Below are 13,723 nucleotides of genomic sequence, written 5' to 3'. Positions count from 1 at the left end.
CAGGCCTGCTCCCTCCCTCTCTCATTCCTTTTACAGGAATCGCTGTCTTTGGGGCACACATTGCAGCATATAATGCCACATGCTTTGCTGACATCAGTTACTACTCCATCTTCCTCTTTCCTGTGTTCCTTCTCCCTACCTAGGACTAGGAAGTGGCATCTTCTGTATTAATATTTTAAAATTTTGGCACAGAAAAACATTCAAAGACTTGGGATCCCACTGCAAATTGAAAATGAAACAGCCCTGGCTGGGCGCGGTGGCTCACGCCTGTAATCCCAGCACTTTGGGAGGCAGAGGCGGGCAGATCACGAGGCCAGGAGATCGATACCATCCTGGCTAACACGGTGAGACCCCGTCTCTACTAAAAAATACAAAAAAAATTAGCCGGGCGTGGTGGCGGGCGCCCGTAGTCCCAGCTACTCGAGAGGCTGAGGCAGGAGAATGGCGTGAACCCAGGAGGCGGAGCTAGCAGCGAACTGAGATCGCACCACTGCACTCCAGCCTGGGTGACAGAGCAAGACTTTGTCTCAAAAAAAAGAAAAAAGAAAATGAAACAGCCCTATGGGGATTATTCCCCTTTCTCCCCCTCCTCCCCTCGTAGAGATGTCCTGAAGTCCACAGGCAATCTGTATCCAATCTCTCCTTAAACCCTCAGAAGCTGGCACTGCCCCCCTTCGCCTTCCCCATGTTGCCAATGTCACCTGTAATGACTAGGGAGAGTAATGGATGTATTTGGGGATAATAAACCTGACCTGCTTTGGAACCAAGAACAAATCCTGTTTCCATGCAAATGCAGTTTGTAATAAAAACCTGCCAGGATGGAAGTACAGGGGCTGCTCTTCCCAGCAAATTGCTCCCTTTGACAGAACATTCTTCAAAGTTATCCCAGGAGTGATCAAAGCAGCAGCAGCTGTTGAAAGGGTTTACCTCTAAAGGATTTGGATGCGTGGCCACTTCTGTTTAATTAAGCAGTGACAGGGCGGCAGGAAGCTGTGCAAGGTGGCTTAAATATTGTAAAATGCGAGGTAGGATAGCAGCCCGTCTTTGCTTTCTCAACATTGTAGGCAAAGCGATAATCTAAAGTAGCATTTGAAGTCATATGTTTCACCATCCTACCTGGCAGAATGAGCTCTTTGCAGATTCTCAACTCTGAAGTGTGCAGAGATTGGGTAAAGGAGTAGGGATGCAGGTATTTCCCGTGTGCCTTCTCTGCGCTTGGCCTGATGATAGTACTCGGGGGGCAGAGTCCCATTTAATCCTCAAAGAACACAGAAAGCTATCTTCCTGGGAGGAATAACTTCCCACCTCCACTGTGAAGAGGTCAGTAACCTCTTAAGTTCTCACAGCTGATTAACGCATAATTGGAGTCACTTTGTGAAACCCCAGTTCTTTTTTCCCTAAGCTTTATTGAAGTGTCACTAACAAATAAAACTTGTATATATTTAAGGTGTATAATGTGATGATTTGCTTTTTGCATGCATTGTGAAATGATTACCACAATCAACTTAATGAACACGTCCGTCACCTCATAGAGTTACCTTTTCGTTTTTGTTTTTGTTTTTGTTTGTTTGAGACAAAGTCTCACTCTGTAGCCCAGGCTGGAGTACAGCGGTGCAATCTTGGCTCATTGCAACCTCCACCTCCCGGGTTCAAGCAATTCTCCTGCCTCAGCCTCCTGGGTAGCTGGGATTATAGGTGCCCGCCACCACACCCAGCTAATTTTTGTATTTTTAGTAGAGATGGGGTTTTACCATGTTGGCCAGGCTGGTCTCAAACTCCTGACCTCAAGTGATCCGCCCACCTCAGCCTCCCAAAGTGCTGGGATTACAAGCGTGAGCCACTGTGTCCAGCCTACCTTTTGTTTTTAATGGCGGGGACACTTAAGGTCTATGCTGTCTGAGGCCCAAGGTCTTTTCCTATGCTATTGCCTACTTGCCCTGGTCACTGAAGGAGCGCAAGAGAGAGTCAAGGTTATCCCAGAAGAGGGAATGTAATTACTTCCAGGCTAATGGATGGACTCCAACGCTACCTGAAAACAGAACTAGGGTTCCAGGAAGCAGAGTTGAAGCAGGACAAGACCCCAGGGCTCTGAGAGTCTGGAGGTGCTTCTGGAGGAGGGTGTGGTGCAGGAAGAGGAGAATAGTGCATTGTGGGGAGGTGGCCAACAGACGGTCCTGGCGCCATGTCAACTTCATCCTCCTGATCAGCTGTCACTAAGAAAATGTGCCCTAGGCTGGAAAGGAGCCAAAGAGAGGAGGGGAGAGAAATTTAGACATAAACATGAGCTTCCAGAATTTTGTTATTTTTCATTCTCCTCCTACCTCCACTTCTAGATAACAGTGGTCTTCAAGGGGTACAGACAGCAAGCAAGAGCCTTCCGAGTCAACTGTGCTTTGCTCTATTGCCATGCGGAGTCTCACTCTGTTGCCCAGGCTGAAGTGCAATGGCACAGTCTCAGCTCACTGCAACTTTTGCCTCCCAGGTTCAAGCGATTCTCCTGCCTCAGCCTCCCAAGTAGCTGGGATTACAGGATGTGTTACCACGCCCAGCTGATTTTTGTATTTTTGGTAGAGATGGGGTTTCACCATGTTGGCCAAGCTGGTCTTGAACTCCTGACCTCAGGTGATCCTCCTGCCTCGGCCCCCCAAAGTGGTGGGATTACAGGCTTGAGCCACCGTGCCTGGCCCAGATGTGGCAGCTGCTGGGCTGAGGTTTGCATCTCCAGTCAGTGATTCGTTTGTTGCACCCTCGCCCACACCCGCTGTTGGCTCATCCCCTGTGGTCCATCTGTGTGGGCTGCTGTTGGCATTTGCTAGCACTGGGCTGGTATCTGGCCAGCAGGTAACTGCAGGACCCAAAGGGACTGCCCACCTGACAGCAGTATTGCCAGGCAACACTGGACGAGTTTCCCGCAGATCTGACTTCAACCGTTAAGCTCCTTGTAAAGCCGTGTCTCTGTCCAGCAGGCTGCGAGTCAAATCAGAGACAATGTGACACCACTCTGGGGACTGATCACAGGGCATGTGGTCAAAAGCACTTTGATTGAGACAATTATTTTCTTCCAGCACTGTGTATGGGTGTTATATGTGGTACACCTTTGAATCAATAGGTGGGGACAATTTCATAATATTTTATAAATGTTTCAAAAAGGATTTTTGACTTTTAGAAGTTGTTCTTTTTAACGAATGCCTCCCTATCTTAAAATTTCTGATAAAAAACTTTTTTTTTTGCAAATAATTATTGCTCTGTGCTGTTAGTAATTATTACATTTAGAGACCACCTCGATGTCCAGTAATAGAGGTTTGATGAAATGTGCCATTTTTGTGAAAATAGCTAGACCAATGCAAGGACAGGATCTGAAATAACAGCTAGTGTTTCTAGAAGCTCACTGTGCACCAGGTATGCTAAGGGCTCAGTCGACCTTATTTCATTCAGTCTGTACAACAACCTTATGAAGGGACATTAGCATCCCCTTTTCATAAATGGAAAAACCGAGGGGAGAGAGATGGAGGAAGTTTTCTAAGGTCATGAGGGTTTAGATGTGGCATTTTTGTTTTTTATTTTTTATTTGTTTTGAGATGGAGTCTCACTTTGTTGTCCAGGCTGGAGTGCAGTGGTACAATCTCGGCTCACTGCAACTTCCACCTCCTGGGTTCAAGCGATTCTCCTGCCTCAGCCTCCCGAGTAACTGGGACTACAGGCCTGTGCTACCACACCCAGCTAATACTTGTATTTTTGGTAGAGACAAGTATTCACTATGTTACAAAGTAATCTGTATACCAAGTGTGAGATGTAAATACATACCTGGTTATTGTAACAACTTTGCAAATTTTAAAAATTAGTGAGGCAGTGCCAAAACAGTAAAGCAGGAATAATTGATTTAAAGTGAGTTGGAATTTTTTTTTAACTATCCCCATCTCATCTACTCAAAATTTAGATTCTTGTATTTTAATGTTTTCTCCCTACTGTTATATATTTTGGGGTTGAATTCCTGAACTCAGGTGATTTGCCTGCCTTGGCCTCCCAAAGTGCTGCGCTTAGAGGTGTGAGCCACCACGCCCAACCCAGATGTGGCAGTTTAACCCCAAAGCCTATGCTCAAAGCTACTGTCCTGGAGATAAGGCTACTTGTCACTGGGTGGTGAGATTACAGACATTTTTATATTAATCTTGCTGTCTGTATATGCACACATTGCTTTTGCAATAGGAAAATAACCAAAAATGTATAACAGTAGGGAAAAAACAATAAAATATAAGAATCTTAATGTTCAGTAGATGAGGAGATGGGGATAGTTAAAAAAAAATTCCCAACTCACTTTAAATCAATTATTCCTGCTTTACTGTTTTGGCAATGCCTCACTAATTTTTTAAATTTGCAGTCATTACAATAACCAGGTATGTATTTATATCTTCCGCTTGGTATACAAATAACTTTGTAATTGTCCCTAATTTGTTTTAATGAATTGGTGGACATTAAGGTTGTTTTTAATTTGTCCCTATTCTGTAGACGGAGCTGGGAATAATTAATTGGAAACAAATTTGAAGGTGCCGGGTGCAGTGGCTCAAGCCTATAATCCCAGCACTTTGGGAGGCCGAGGTGGGCAGATCACCTGAGGTCAGGAGTTCGAGACCAACCTGGCCAACATGGCAAAACCCCATTTCTACTAAAAATACAAAGATTAGCTGGGCGTGGTGGTGGGTACCTGTAATCCCAGCTACTCGGGAGGCTGAGGCAGGAGAATGGCTTGAACCTGGAAAGTGGAGGTTGCAGCGAGCCTAGATCGTGCCACTGCACTCTAGCCTGTGTGACAGAGTGAGACTCCATCTCAAGGAAAAAAAAAAAAAAGAGAGAACGAAAACCCACGAACTAGAGGAAACTCGAATTGTGGAAAAAATAAAGTGTTCATAAAGCCAGTTCAGGGTGTTTAGGAATTAGGAATCCTTAGGGAAAACACAGGGGCAGTAGTTTGGATCACATTGCCATCATGACAAAACGACAGTCAAATTGCATTGTAGTGAATATTTGTCTTTTTTGGTTGCCCACCATAGGAATCATCTTATGGGGAATTTCCTATCTTATGAGATAGAGCTCACCTCTGGAATAACCAGGTATCAGACTTCCCAGCCTCCTTTGCAAATGGACCGGGATGCATGAGCTTAGAAATGCAAATCACATGCACCTGCACATGGCTTTGGATGAGAAGCTGGTGACAGAAAGAAGCAGCGGCCACAAGGAATCTATTCCTGGGCCAGGTGCAGTGGCTCATACCTGTAATCCTAGCACTTTAGGAGGCTGAGGAGGGTGGATCACCTGAGGTCAGGAGTTTGAGACCAGCCTGGACCACACGGAAAAACGTCTCTACTAAAAATACAAAAATTAGCCAGGCTTGGTGGCGGGTGCCTGTAATCCCAGGTACCTGGGAGGCTGAGGCAGGAGAATCACTTGAAGCCAGGAGGCAGAGGTTCCAGTGAGCTGAGATCGTGCCACTGCACTCCAGCCTGGGTGACAGAGGGAGACTCCATCTCCAAAATAATAATAATAATAATAATAATAATAATGCATTTTTGTGAGGGTGGCAGAAGCAGTGGTTGTGTCCAAATCTGGAAGACACATGGCAATGATTCTGGAAACAGTATCGAGGGGTCTCAGTACTGACACAGCCTGAAGCACTGACACCCTCAGGGTTGCAACACCACTGTCCTCACTGGGTTAGTTCTATGGTGCAATTATGGGATTTCATCTGACTGTTTACCGCTGTGTGGTCGTTCTGTTCCTCCTGAGAGGTCTGCAACTGACTCAACCATTTAATAAATTTTATTTCCATTTCAATAAGTCAGAATTAGTTTTTATTAAATGCAAGTAAAATTTCTGATGGATGTACACGTTACATTGATTTCTATATATTTACTATGTATACCTTTAATCCAATAGTGTCTTTTGTTTGTTTGTTTGTTTTGTTTTTGTTTTTGTTTTTGACAGTCTCGCTTTGTTGCCCAGGCTGGAGTGCAGTGGCACAATCTCGGTTCACTGCAACCTCCACCTCCTGGGTTCAAGCGATTCTCCTGCCTCAGCCTCCCAAGTAGCTGGGACTACAGGTGCCCACCACCACGCCTGGCTAATTTTTATATTTTTAGTAGAGTTGGGGTTTCACCATGTTGGCCAGGCTGGTTGCGAACTCCTGACCTCAAGTGATCTGCCTGCCTTGGCCTCCCAAAGTGTTGGGATTACAGGTGTGAGCCACTTCCCCCAGCCCCAGTAGTGTCTTTATACTATAAAATGATTGTAGGATCAGGAAATACATCCAGGATTAAGAGAGTTTTTCAGAAGCTTTGGGCTTTTAAAAATAATACAAAATATTTGCATAGCTAATAATGTAAGATATTTGCATGGATGATCTAAGCTTAAAATTTTATAGAAGTCATTTAAAAGGATTGGAGAGGGATCTTGTTTTAGTTAATAAATTGGGTCATATATTGAAGTTTCCAAAAGCCATGAAGGTTGGGATGAAAACATTATTTATAATGAATCTCATACTGAGTTATTTTCCCAAATGGCGGTACATTTACATAATAGCAGGAAGTCTTGATTTTCCATGTTGCTGTGATTCTAGCTCATTTAGTCCAATAGCATATCATTAATAACTCTTAGGTCAGCCTTGCACCACTATTGAAATCTGTGTCTGGGGGATACCTAAGAGAAAGAAAATACTTTTTCCAGCCATCTTCCCCTTCCACACAGGAATATCAAAGCACATACATACAGATATATTTAGGTCAAGGATTTTGTGAGGTTTCTAGCCGTGCATTTTAATTGAGGTTTTATATGAGGTTAGGGGGAGGTGGGAGTTTTTGGGCCAGAATCTGGAATGCAGGATACTGTTCGGTTATGAAATGGTATCCTTTCAGCAAACCTTCCCTGAATCCCTTTCAGGCTACTCTAGGTGCTGAGGTCATGCATAACTTACAATTATATTCAACTCCAAGTAATAGAAAGCCCCAAATAATAGTGGCTTAAGTTAGAAAAAAGCCTACAAGTAGTCCAGGGCTGATATTGCTTTAAATACTGTTAGTGACCCAGGATTCTCCTGTTTTATTGCTCTGGTAGGGGTTGCTTTCACCCCCAAGGTCCCTTGTGGTCCAAGAGGGGCTGCTATAGCAGCAGCCGTTATTCCGCATCCCAGCCAGCAGGAAACAGGAAGCAGAGAAGGGCATGCTTCCTCCTTTTAGGATACTTCCTGGTTAGCGCTTAGTCACATGACCATGCGTAGCTACAAGGGATGCTGGAAAATACAGTCTTTATCCCAGTAGCCATGTGCCCAGCTAAGAACTGGAGTGTCTTTAATGGAGGATGATGAAGAGAGTAGATTCCCAAAGACAATTAGCTGCCTCCATCCCAAGCAGTTACAGAGAATTAGAGTTTATCTTCTAAGGGAGGAAACCAACATGTGCACTGTCAACTACCTTCTTGCAATGTGTTAAATTGCAAGAGTGAGGTAGTCAAAGTGTTGTAGTCAAAGGGCTGTGGGAGTGGCAAGAAGGGAGAAGCAGCCTGGGACAGTGTAGAGGCCCATCAGACTTGCTCTAGAGCTTGACTACCAGGGCTTGAATTTGTTTTTGGCATTTCCTACCCATGATGACCTCAGGCAAATTCAAAACCTCTTTGAGCTGCAGCTCCTCACCCTATCCCCTGCTTCCTAGGGTTACTAAGTAAAATACAGGACACCCAGTGTTCCAATGCTTATACTAAAATATTGTTATTTATCTTAAATTTAAATTTAATGAAGTGTCCTGTTTTTTTGTTTGTTTGCTAAATCTAGCAATTCTACCCCTTCCCCATCTGTAAGATGGGGAGTTATTCAACATAATAAAAATATAGTTAATGAATAAACAAATACTGATTCCCGGAGAGCTTATTATATGCTGGGTATTGTTCTAGGAATAGGGGTTAAACTTACACTATGGGGTTATTTGAGGATTAACCAAAAAACCCCCCTGTACAGAGCTGGGCCTGGAGGAGGCTCAGAGCTCCTTGACTGGTTCTATGGCTGCTGCTCCTACTCTTTGGCCTAGAAAGCTCTGATGGAGAAGAGGCTGGAGGGTCCATGCAGAACAACTTCTGACAGGGGTGCTTTGGAACCTGTGACAGGGTTGATGGACTCTGACCATCTTGAGTGGCCACAGGAGGCGTCTTGCTCACCCTGAGATCTGGGCCATGTGCTTGCTTCTCTAGAAAGCCCTCTGGGGCCAGTCTGGCTGGAGCCATCTCTCCTACCTCTGAATTCATTGTATGTGTCTATATTTCTTTCTTGGCCCTTATGAGAAAGAAATACTTATACCTTCTTTTGTTCTATAAAAGGTTTGAGGTGACTTAGTTGGCAATTTCTTGTTGACTGCATTGGCACAGGTCTTCTGTTTACCCTCTTTCTCTCTCTCTCTCTCTTTTTTTTTTTTTTTTTTTTTTTGAGATAGGGTCTTGCTCTGTCACCCATGCTGGAGTGCAGTAGCGTGATCACAGCTAACTGCATCCTTGATCTCCTGGGCTCAAGTTGATCTTCCCACCTCAGCGTCCCAAGTAGCTGGGACTACAGGTGTGTGACACCAGGTCTGGCTAATTTTTGTATTTTTAGTAGAAACAGAGTCTTGCCATGTTGCCCAGGCTAGTCTTGAACTCCTGGGCTGAAGCTATTCATCTACCTCAGCCTCCCAAAGTGCTGGGATTATAGGCCTGAGCTACTGCGCCCAGCCATTTCTCTCTCTCTTTCTTTGATTAGCTCTTGTAGTAGTATTTGATGTTCTGTGGTCTCTCTGCCTTGTTTGTAAACTTCCTAAATTCTGAGGCCATGGCCCACAACCCATAAGAAGTAGTCTTCAGCATCTCCTGAGAGGCCGATTGACCCTACCCATCTTTAGAGTCTTTGGATGGAGAGTTAGTTTCAACCCCTCCCATGCCTCTCCCTGGCACCAGCTGGGGGATCCTAGAGAGTCCTCCCCTGGTCTGCCCACTGACCATAATGCTATCAGCAGGCTACACAGCTCTGCAAGCAACAACCCCAGGAGCTGCCATGATGGACAGAGAGAGGCCGTGAAAATGGTAGAGCAGTTTAAGAGTAACCGTTCTAGAGAGAACCCTTATTTCTTATTTGTATTGCAGCTTTGGCTGGGCCCTGTGCTTCCTCACAGGGTAATGCCACCCGTTTTTTTTGGTGTGCGCCCTCCCCCCGCGCCCGCCACTTTAGATCACTTCTGCATTCACCCCTGCCTTTCTGCCTTGCAGCTGGTGGGTGTAGGGGGTGCTCTGGGAGTGCAGATGCATCTTGACATCAGCCTAAGTCACACATGATTAAGAAGGTAAATCTGCTGGGGGAAGTAGTGAGAGATAGATGATTCCTATTAGCATCTGAAACCAATTATAAATGCTTTTGCATTAACCGCCGCTGGGGATTTTCCGTGGCACTTCATACACAATTGGGAATTGATTGCGCTAGGATGCAGAACAGCAGGAGAAAACAAAAGGGAACGGGATTTACTGGCCCTTGAATAAGGAGCGAAGCATTATGTCCTTCCCTACACAGGACACCGTTTTCTTTCCCTAGATCGGGGGTTGGCAAACTTCTTCTGTAAATGGTCGGAGAGTAAATATCTTCTGCTTTGTGGGCTATACAGCTTCTGTCACAACTACTCAGCTCTATTGTAGAAGAAACAGCCATAGATGATAAATCAATGCATCAATGATGGGCCATAACTAGGTTCCCATAAAACTTTTTTTTTTTTTTTGAGTTGGAGTCTCGCTCTGTCACCCAGGCTGGAGTGCAGTGGCGCCATCTCGGCTCACTGAAATCTCTGCCTCCCGGGTTCAAGCAATTCTCCTGCCTCAGTCTCCCTAGTAGCTGGGATTACAGGTGCCCGCCACCATGCCTAGCTAATTTTTATATTTTTAGTAGAGACGGGGTTTCCCCACGTTGGCCAGGCTGGTCTCAAACTCCTGACCTCAAGTGATCTGTCCGCCTTGGCCTCCCAAAGTGCTGGGATTACAGGAGTGAGCCACAGTGCCCAGCCCCAATAAAACTTTATTTATAAAAACAGGCATAACCAGACTTGGCCTGTGAGTTGTAGTATACCAAATCTTGCACTAGCGTTTAGGAGGGCCCAGTTCACTCCTTCTTTCTCCCTTTCTTTGGAAGTTTCAGGCTGCTCTGCCTATGGAGTAGCCAATCTTTATTCCTTTACTTTCTTAATAAACTTGCTTCCATTAAAAAAAAAAAAAAGTTTCAACTAGTGCAGTTTAGCACCCACCCTGCCCCCCATGGCTCCAACCCAGTTCTTGGGGTCGGGGGAGGAGCACTGCCCTCCAGGAGAGACCCACTTTGTAATTAAGGTTGATATTTTCTGGACTGAGTTTTGTACAGCCAGTTCTTGGCAAAGAGCGCTTGAGCTGACTTTTCTTGTTAATGACTCCTGCTTCATGAGCCTATTCAGATGGTCCCCCTGCAACTTCATCTAGCCATATAAACTTTTCCAATCTGTGCTGATGAGTTCCTGGAGACAGGATATGGAGCCCAGCTCTCCTCAAGGGCATTGCTGTCCAAAGCCTCACCCACCAGGATAGTCCCTACTCAAAACCAGGCAGCAGAGCTCTCACGGGTTCAGCTACCCTCTCACAGGCTGGTTTAAGAACACAAAAAAATTAAAGATGTATAATTATACATTCATGTATACGTGTGTCTATAGCTTCATAAAATTGTAAAAACACATAATGTAGAATTTACCATCGTAACTATTTTTAAGTATGTAGTACCATAATGGTAACTATATGCACATCATGTGCAAAAGATCTCTAGGATGTTTTATATTACGAAACTGAAACTCTATATCCGTTAAATAACTCCCCTTTTCCCCCTCTTCCCCAGCCCCTAGCAATCACCATTCTACTTTGTTTCTACAAACTTGACTGCTTTGGATGCCTCGATATAAGCGGTGCGTCGTGTGGTATTTGTTCTTCTGTGACTGGCTTATTGCACTTCGCATAATGTTCTCAAGGTTTTTCCATGGTGTAGCATAAGATGGATTTTCCTCCTTTTTAAGGCTAAGACGCTGTTGTAAGCACAGACCACATTCTCTTTATCCATTCATCCATGGATGGACATATAGTCGCTTCTACCTCTTGGCTATTGTGAATAATGCTGCAACGAACAAAGGTGTGCAAATATCTCTTTGAGATCCTGTTTTCAATTCTTTTGGGGGTATATCCAGAAGTGGGATTGCTGGATCATATGGCAATTCTATGTTTAATTTTTTGAGAAATCTCCATCGAGTTTTCCATAGCAGCTACATCATTTCGCATCCCCACCAACACATTTATAGCTTTTATTTTTTAAAAAAAGAAAAAAAGGTAAACAGGATCACCTGCATAGTTTCATTCACTTATTCATTCACAAATATTTATTGAGCGCCCACCCATGGCTAGACAGTGGGGTGTTACGTTGAACCAGACAAATCACTACCCTCTTGGAGTTAGCCTTTTTGGGCAGATAGTAAACAAATAGACATATAATTCTGCTAGAGAAATAGAAAAGAGCTTAATTTAGCTATGTTTGGGGAAAAAAAGTGGCGTCAGGGGTTCCAGAATAGAAATAGAGGGAGTGGCCCTTCTTACGACCCTTCCCAGGTGAGGCTTCTGCAGAAACCCAGTCGGAGCCAGCTATTGTAAGCCTACTCACCAGACTTAAAAAAAAAATGAAGTAAGGGGGCAGGGTCCGTGGCTCATGCCTATAACCTTGAGTCCAGGAGTTAAGGCTGCAACGAGCTATGATTGCACCACTGCATTCTAGCCTGGATGACGGAGCCAGACCCTGTGTCTAAAATAAATTAATAAATTAATAATAATAAATTAAGGTGAGGCCGGGCATGGTGGCTCATGCCTGTAATCCCAGCTTTTAGGGAGGCAGAGGCGGGAGGATAGCTTGAGCCCAGGAGTTTGAGACTTACCTGGGCAATATAGCGAGATCCCATTCTCCACAAAAAGGAAAAAAAGACAAAAATTAAGGTGAAATTCACATAACATAAAAGTAACCATTTTAATTGAACAATTCAGTGGCATTTAGTATATTTGCAATGTTCTACAAGTACAAATTCTATGTCTTTCCAAAAAAATTTTAGTCACTCCAAAATAAAACCCTATACCCATAAAACAGTCATTACCTATTCCCCACTCTGGCAGCCCCTGACAACCACAATCTGCTTTCTCTCTTTTTTTTTTTTTTTTTTTTTTTTTGAGAAGAGTCTCACTCTGTCACCCAGGCTGGAGTGCAATGCCATGATCTTGGCTCACTGCAACCTCCACCTCCTGGGTTCAAGCGATTCTTCTGCCTCAGCCTCCCGAATAGCTGGGATTACAGGCACCTGCCATCATGCCCAGCTAATTTTTGTATTTTTGTAGAGATGGGGTTTCATCATGTTGGCTGGGCTGGTCTTGAACTTCTGACCTTCGGTGATCCACCCATCTTGGCCCCCCAAAGTGCTGGGATTACAGGATTGAGCCACCGCACCCAGCCCAATCTGCTTTCTCTTTCTGCAGAGTTCCCTATTCTGGCTATTTCTTACAAATGGAATCATACAATATGTGGTGTTTGGTGTCTGGCTTCTTTCACTGAGCATAATGTTCTGGAGGTTCATCTGCATTGTGGCATGGATCAGCACTTCATGCCTTTTCATGGCTGAATGATAATATTCTATTGTATGGATAGACCCCATTGTGTGTATCCATTCATCAGTTGATGGACATTTGGGTTGCTTCTACCTTGTGCCTGTTGTGAATAGTACTGGCATGAACATTTATGTACAAGGATTTGTTTGATTTGAGTCTGTTTTCAATTTTGGGGGATACTATGATCACAGATTTTTTGCAGCTTAGGACTCACTCGGGTTCCATTCATTATAAGAAGCAGAGGGTGACGTGACTTGGCTCAGTGAGTTAGTGAAGCTTCAAATCTGAACTGGGGTTGGGATTTCCAGGCAGTGTTCCCACCACTGCACATGCTATAGTTTCATTTCCATCCCCTTCGCTGCCTGGCTGGGCCTCTGGAGGTTGTCTCCTGAAGCCCTGCCTTCCCACTGCTGTTCCTAAGGTAGCTGGAGGTGAAATCAGACTGTCCTTGGCAGCAGGGATTGGGCTCTGACCTCATATCTGCCCCATGTAAGGCCTTTTTTTTTTTTTTTTCTGAGACAGAGTCTTGCTCTGTTGCCCAGGCTGGAGTGCAGTGGCACGATCTCGGCTCACTGCAACCTCCACCTCCCAGGTTCAAGCAATTATCCTGCCTCAGCCTCCCAAGTAGCTGGGATTACAGGTGCCCACCGCCACACCCGGCTAACTTTTGTATTTTTAATAGAGACAGGGTTTCGCCATGTTGGTCAGTCTGGTCTCGAACTCCTGACCTCAGGTGATCCCCCCGCCTCAGCCTCTTGAAGCGCTGGGATTACAGGTGTGAGCCATCATGCCTGGCCCAATGTAAGGCCTTTGGTATGGCAGCCTTTGCTTTGGGAGCAGTGATAGGTGTTATGGGCCAGTTGAGGTGACCAGGGGAGGTTGTGGAAACTGCTTTTGTGGGAGGAAAGCAGTCTCTTTCCTCCCTGTCTCTTCGGATCTCCTCTCATGGATCCCTCCAGTGGATCCCCTAGGGTAGGAAAGAGATCCTTGCCCTGGGATTGTGATCCAAGTGATTTTAAGA

The 13,723-nt window shown here is 44.9% G+C and overlaps 4 annotated features.

Annotated features, from left to right (window-relative positions):
- Nucleotides 4,022-4,222: a silencer, noted in NCBI's record as "peak2987 fragment used in MPRA reporter construct". NCBI's record gives its function as "represses an SCP1 promoter by STARR-seq MPRAs in K562 erythroleukemia cells {active_cell/tissue: K562}" and the evidence as "EXISTENCE:reporter gene assay evidence [ECO:0000049][PMID:32103011]".
- Nucleotides 9,197-9,266: a silencer, noted in NCBI's record as "silent region_8919". NCBI's record gives its function as "represses an Ori minimal core promoter by ATAC-STARR-seq in GM12878 lymphoblastoid cells {active_cell/tissue: GM12878}" and the evidence as "EXISTENCE:reporter gene assay evidence [ECO:0000049][PMID:35858748]".
- Nucleotides 9,197-9,756: a biological region, named in NCBI's record as "OCT4-NANOG hESC enhancer GRCh37_chr17:71128061-71128610".
- Nucleotides 9,207-9,756: an enhancer, noted in NCBI's record as "OCT4-NANOG hESC enhancer chr17:71128061-71128610 (GRCh37/hg19 assembly coordinates)". NCBI's record gives its function as "activates a minimal SCP1, AML or CMV promoter by ChIP-STARR-seq in naive H9 embryonic stem cells {active_cell/tissue: H9 hESC(naive)}" and the evidence as "EXISTENCE:reporter gene assay evidence [ECO:0000049][PMID:30033119]".

The sequence above is a fragment of the Homo sapiens genome, chromosome 17, assembly GCF_000001405.40.
Source record: "Homo sapiens chromosome 17, GRCh38.p14 Primary Assembly".
Classification (NCBI taxonomy): Eukaryota; Metazoa; Chordata; class Mammalia; order Primates; family Hominidae; genus Homo; species Homo sapiens.
This window is presented reverse-complemented; position numbering and strand designations above follow the sequence as displayed.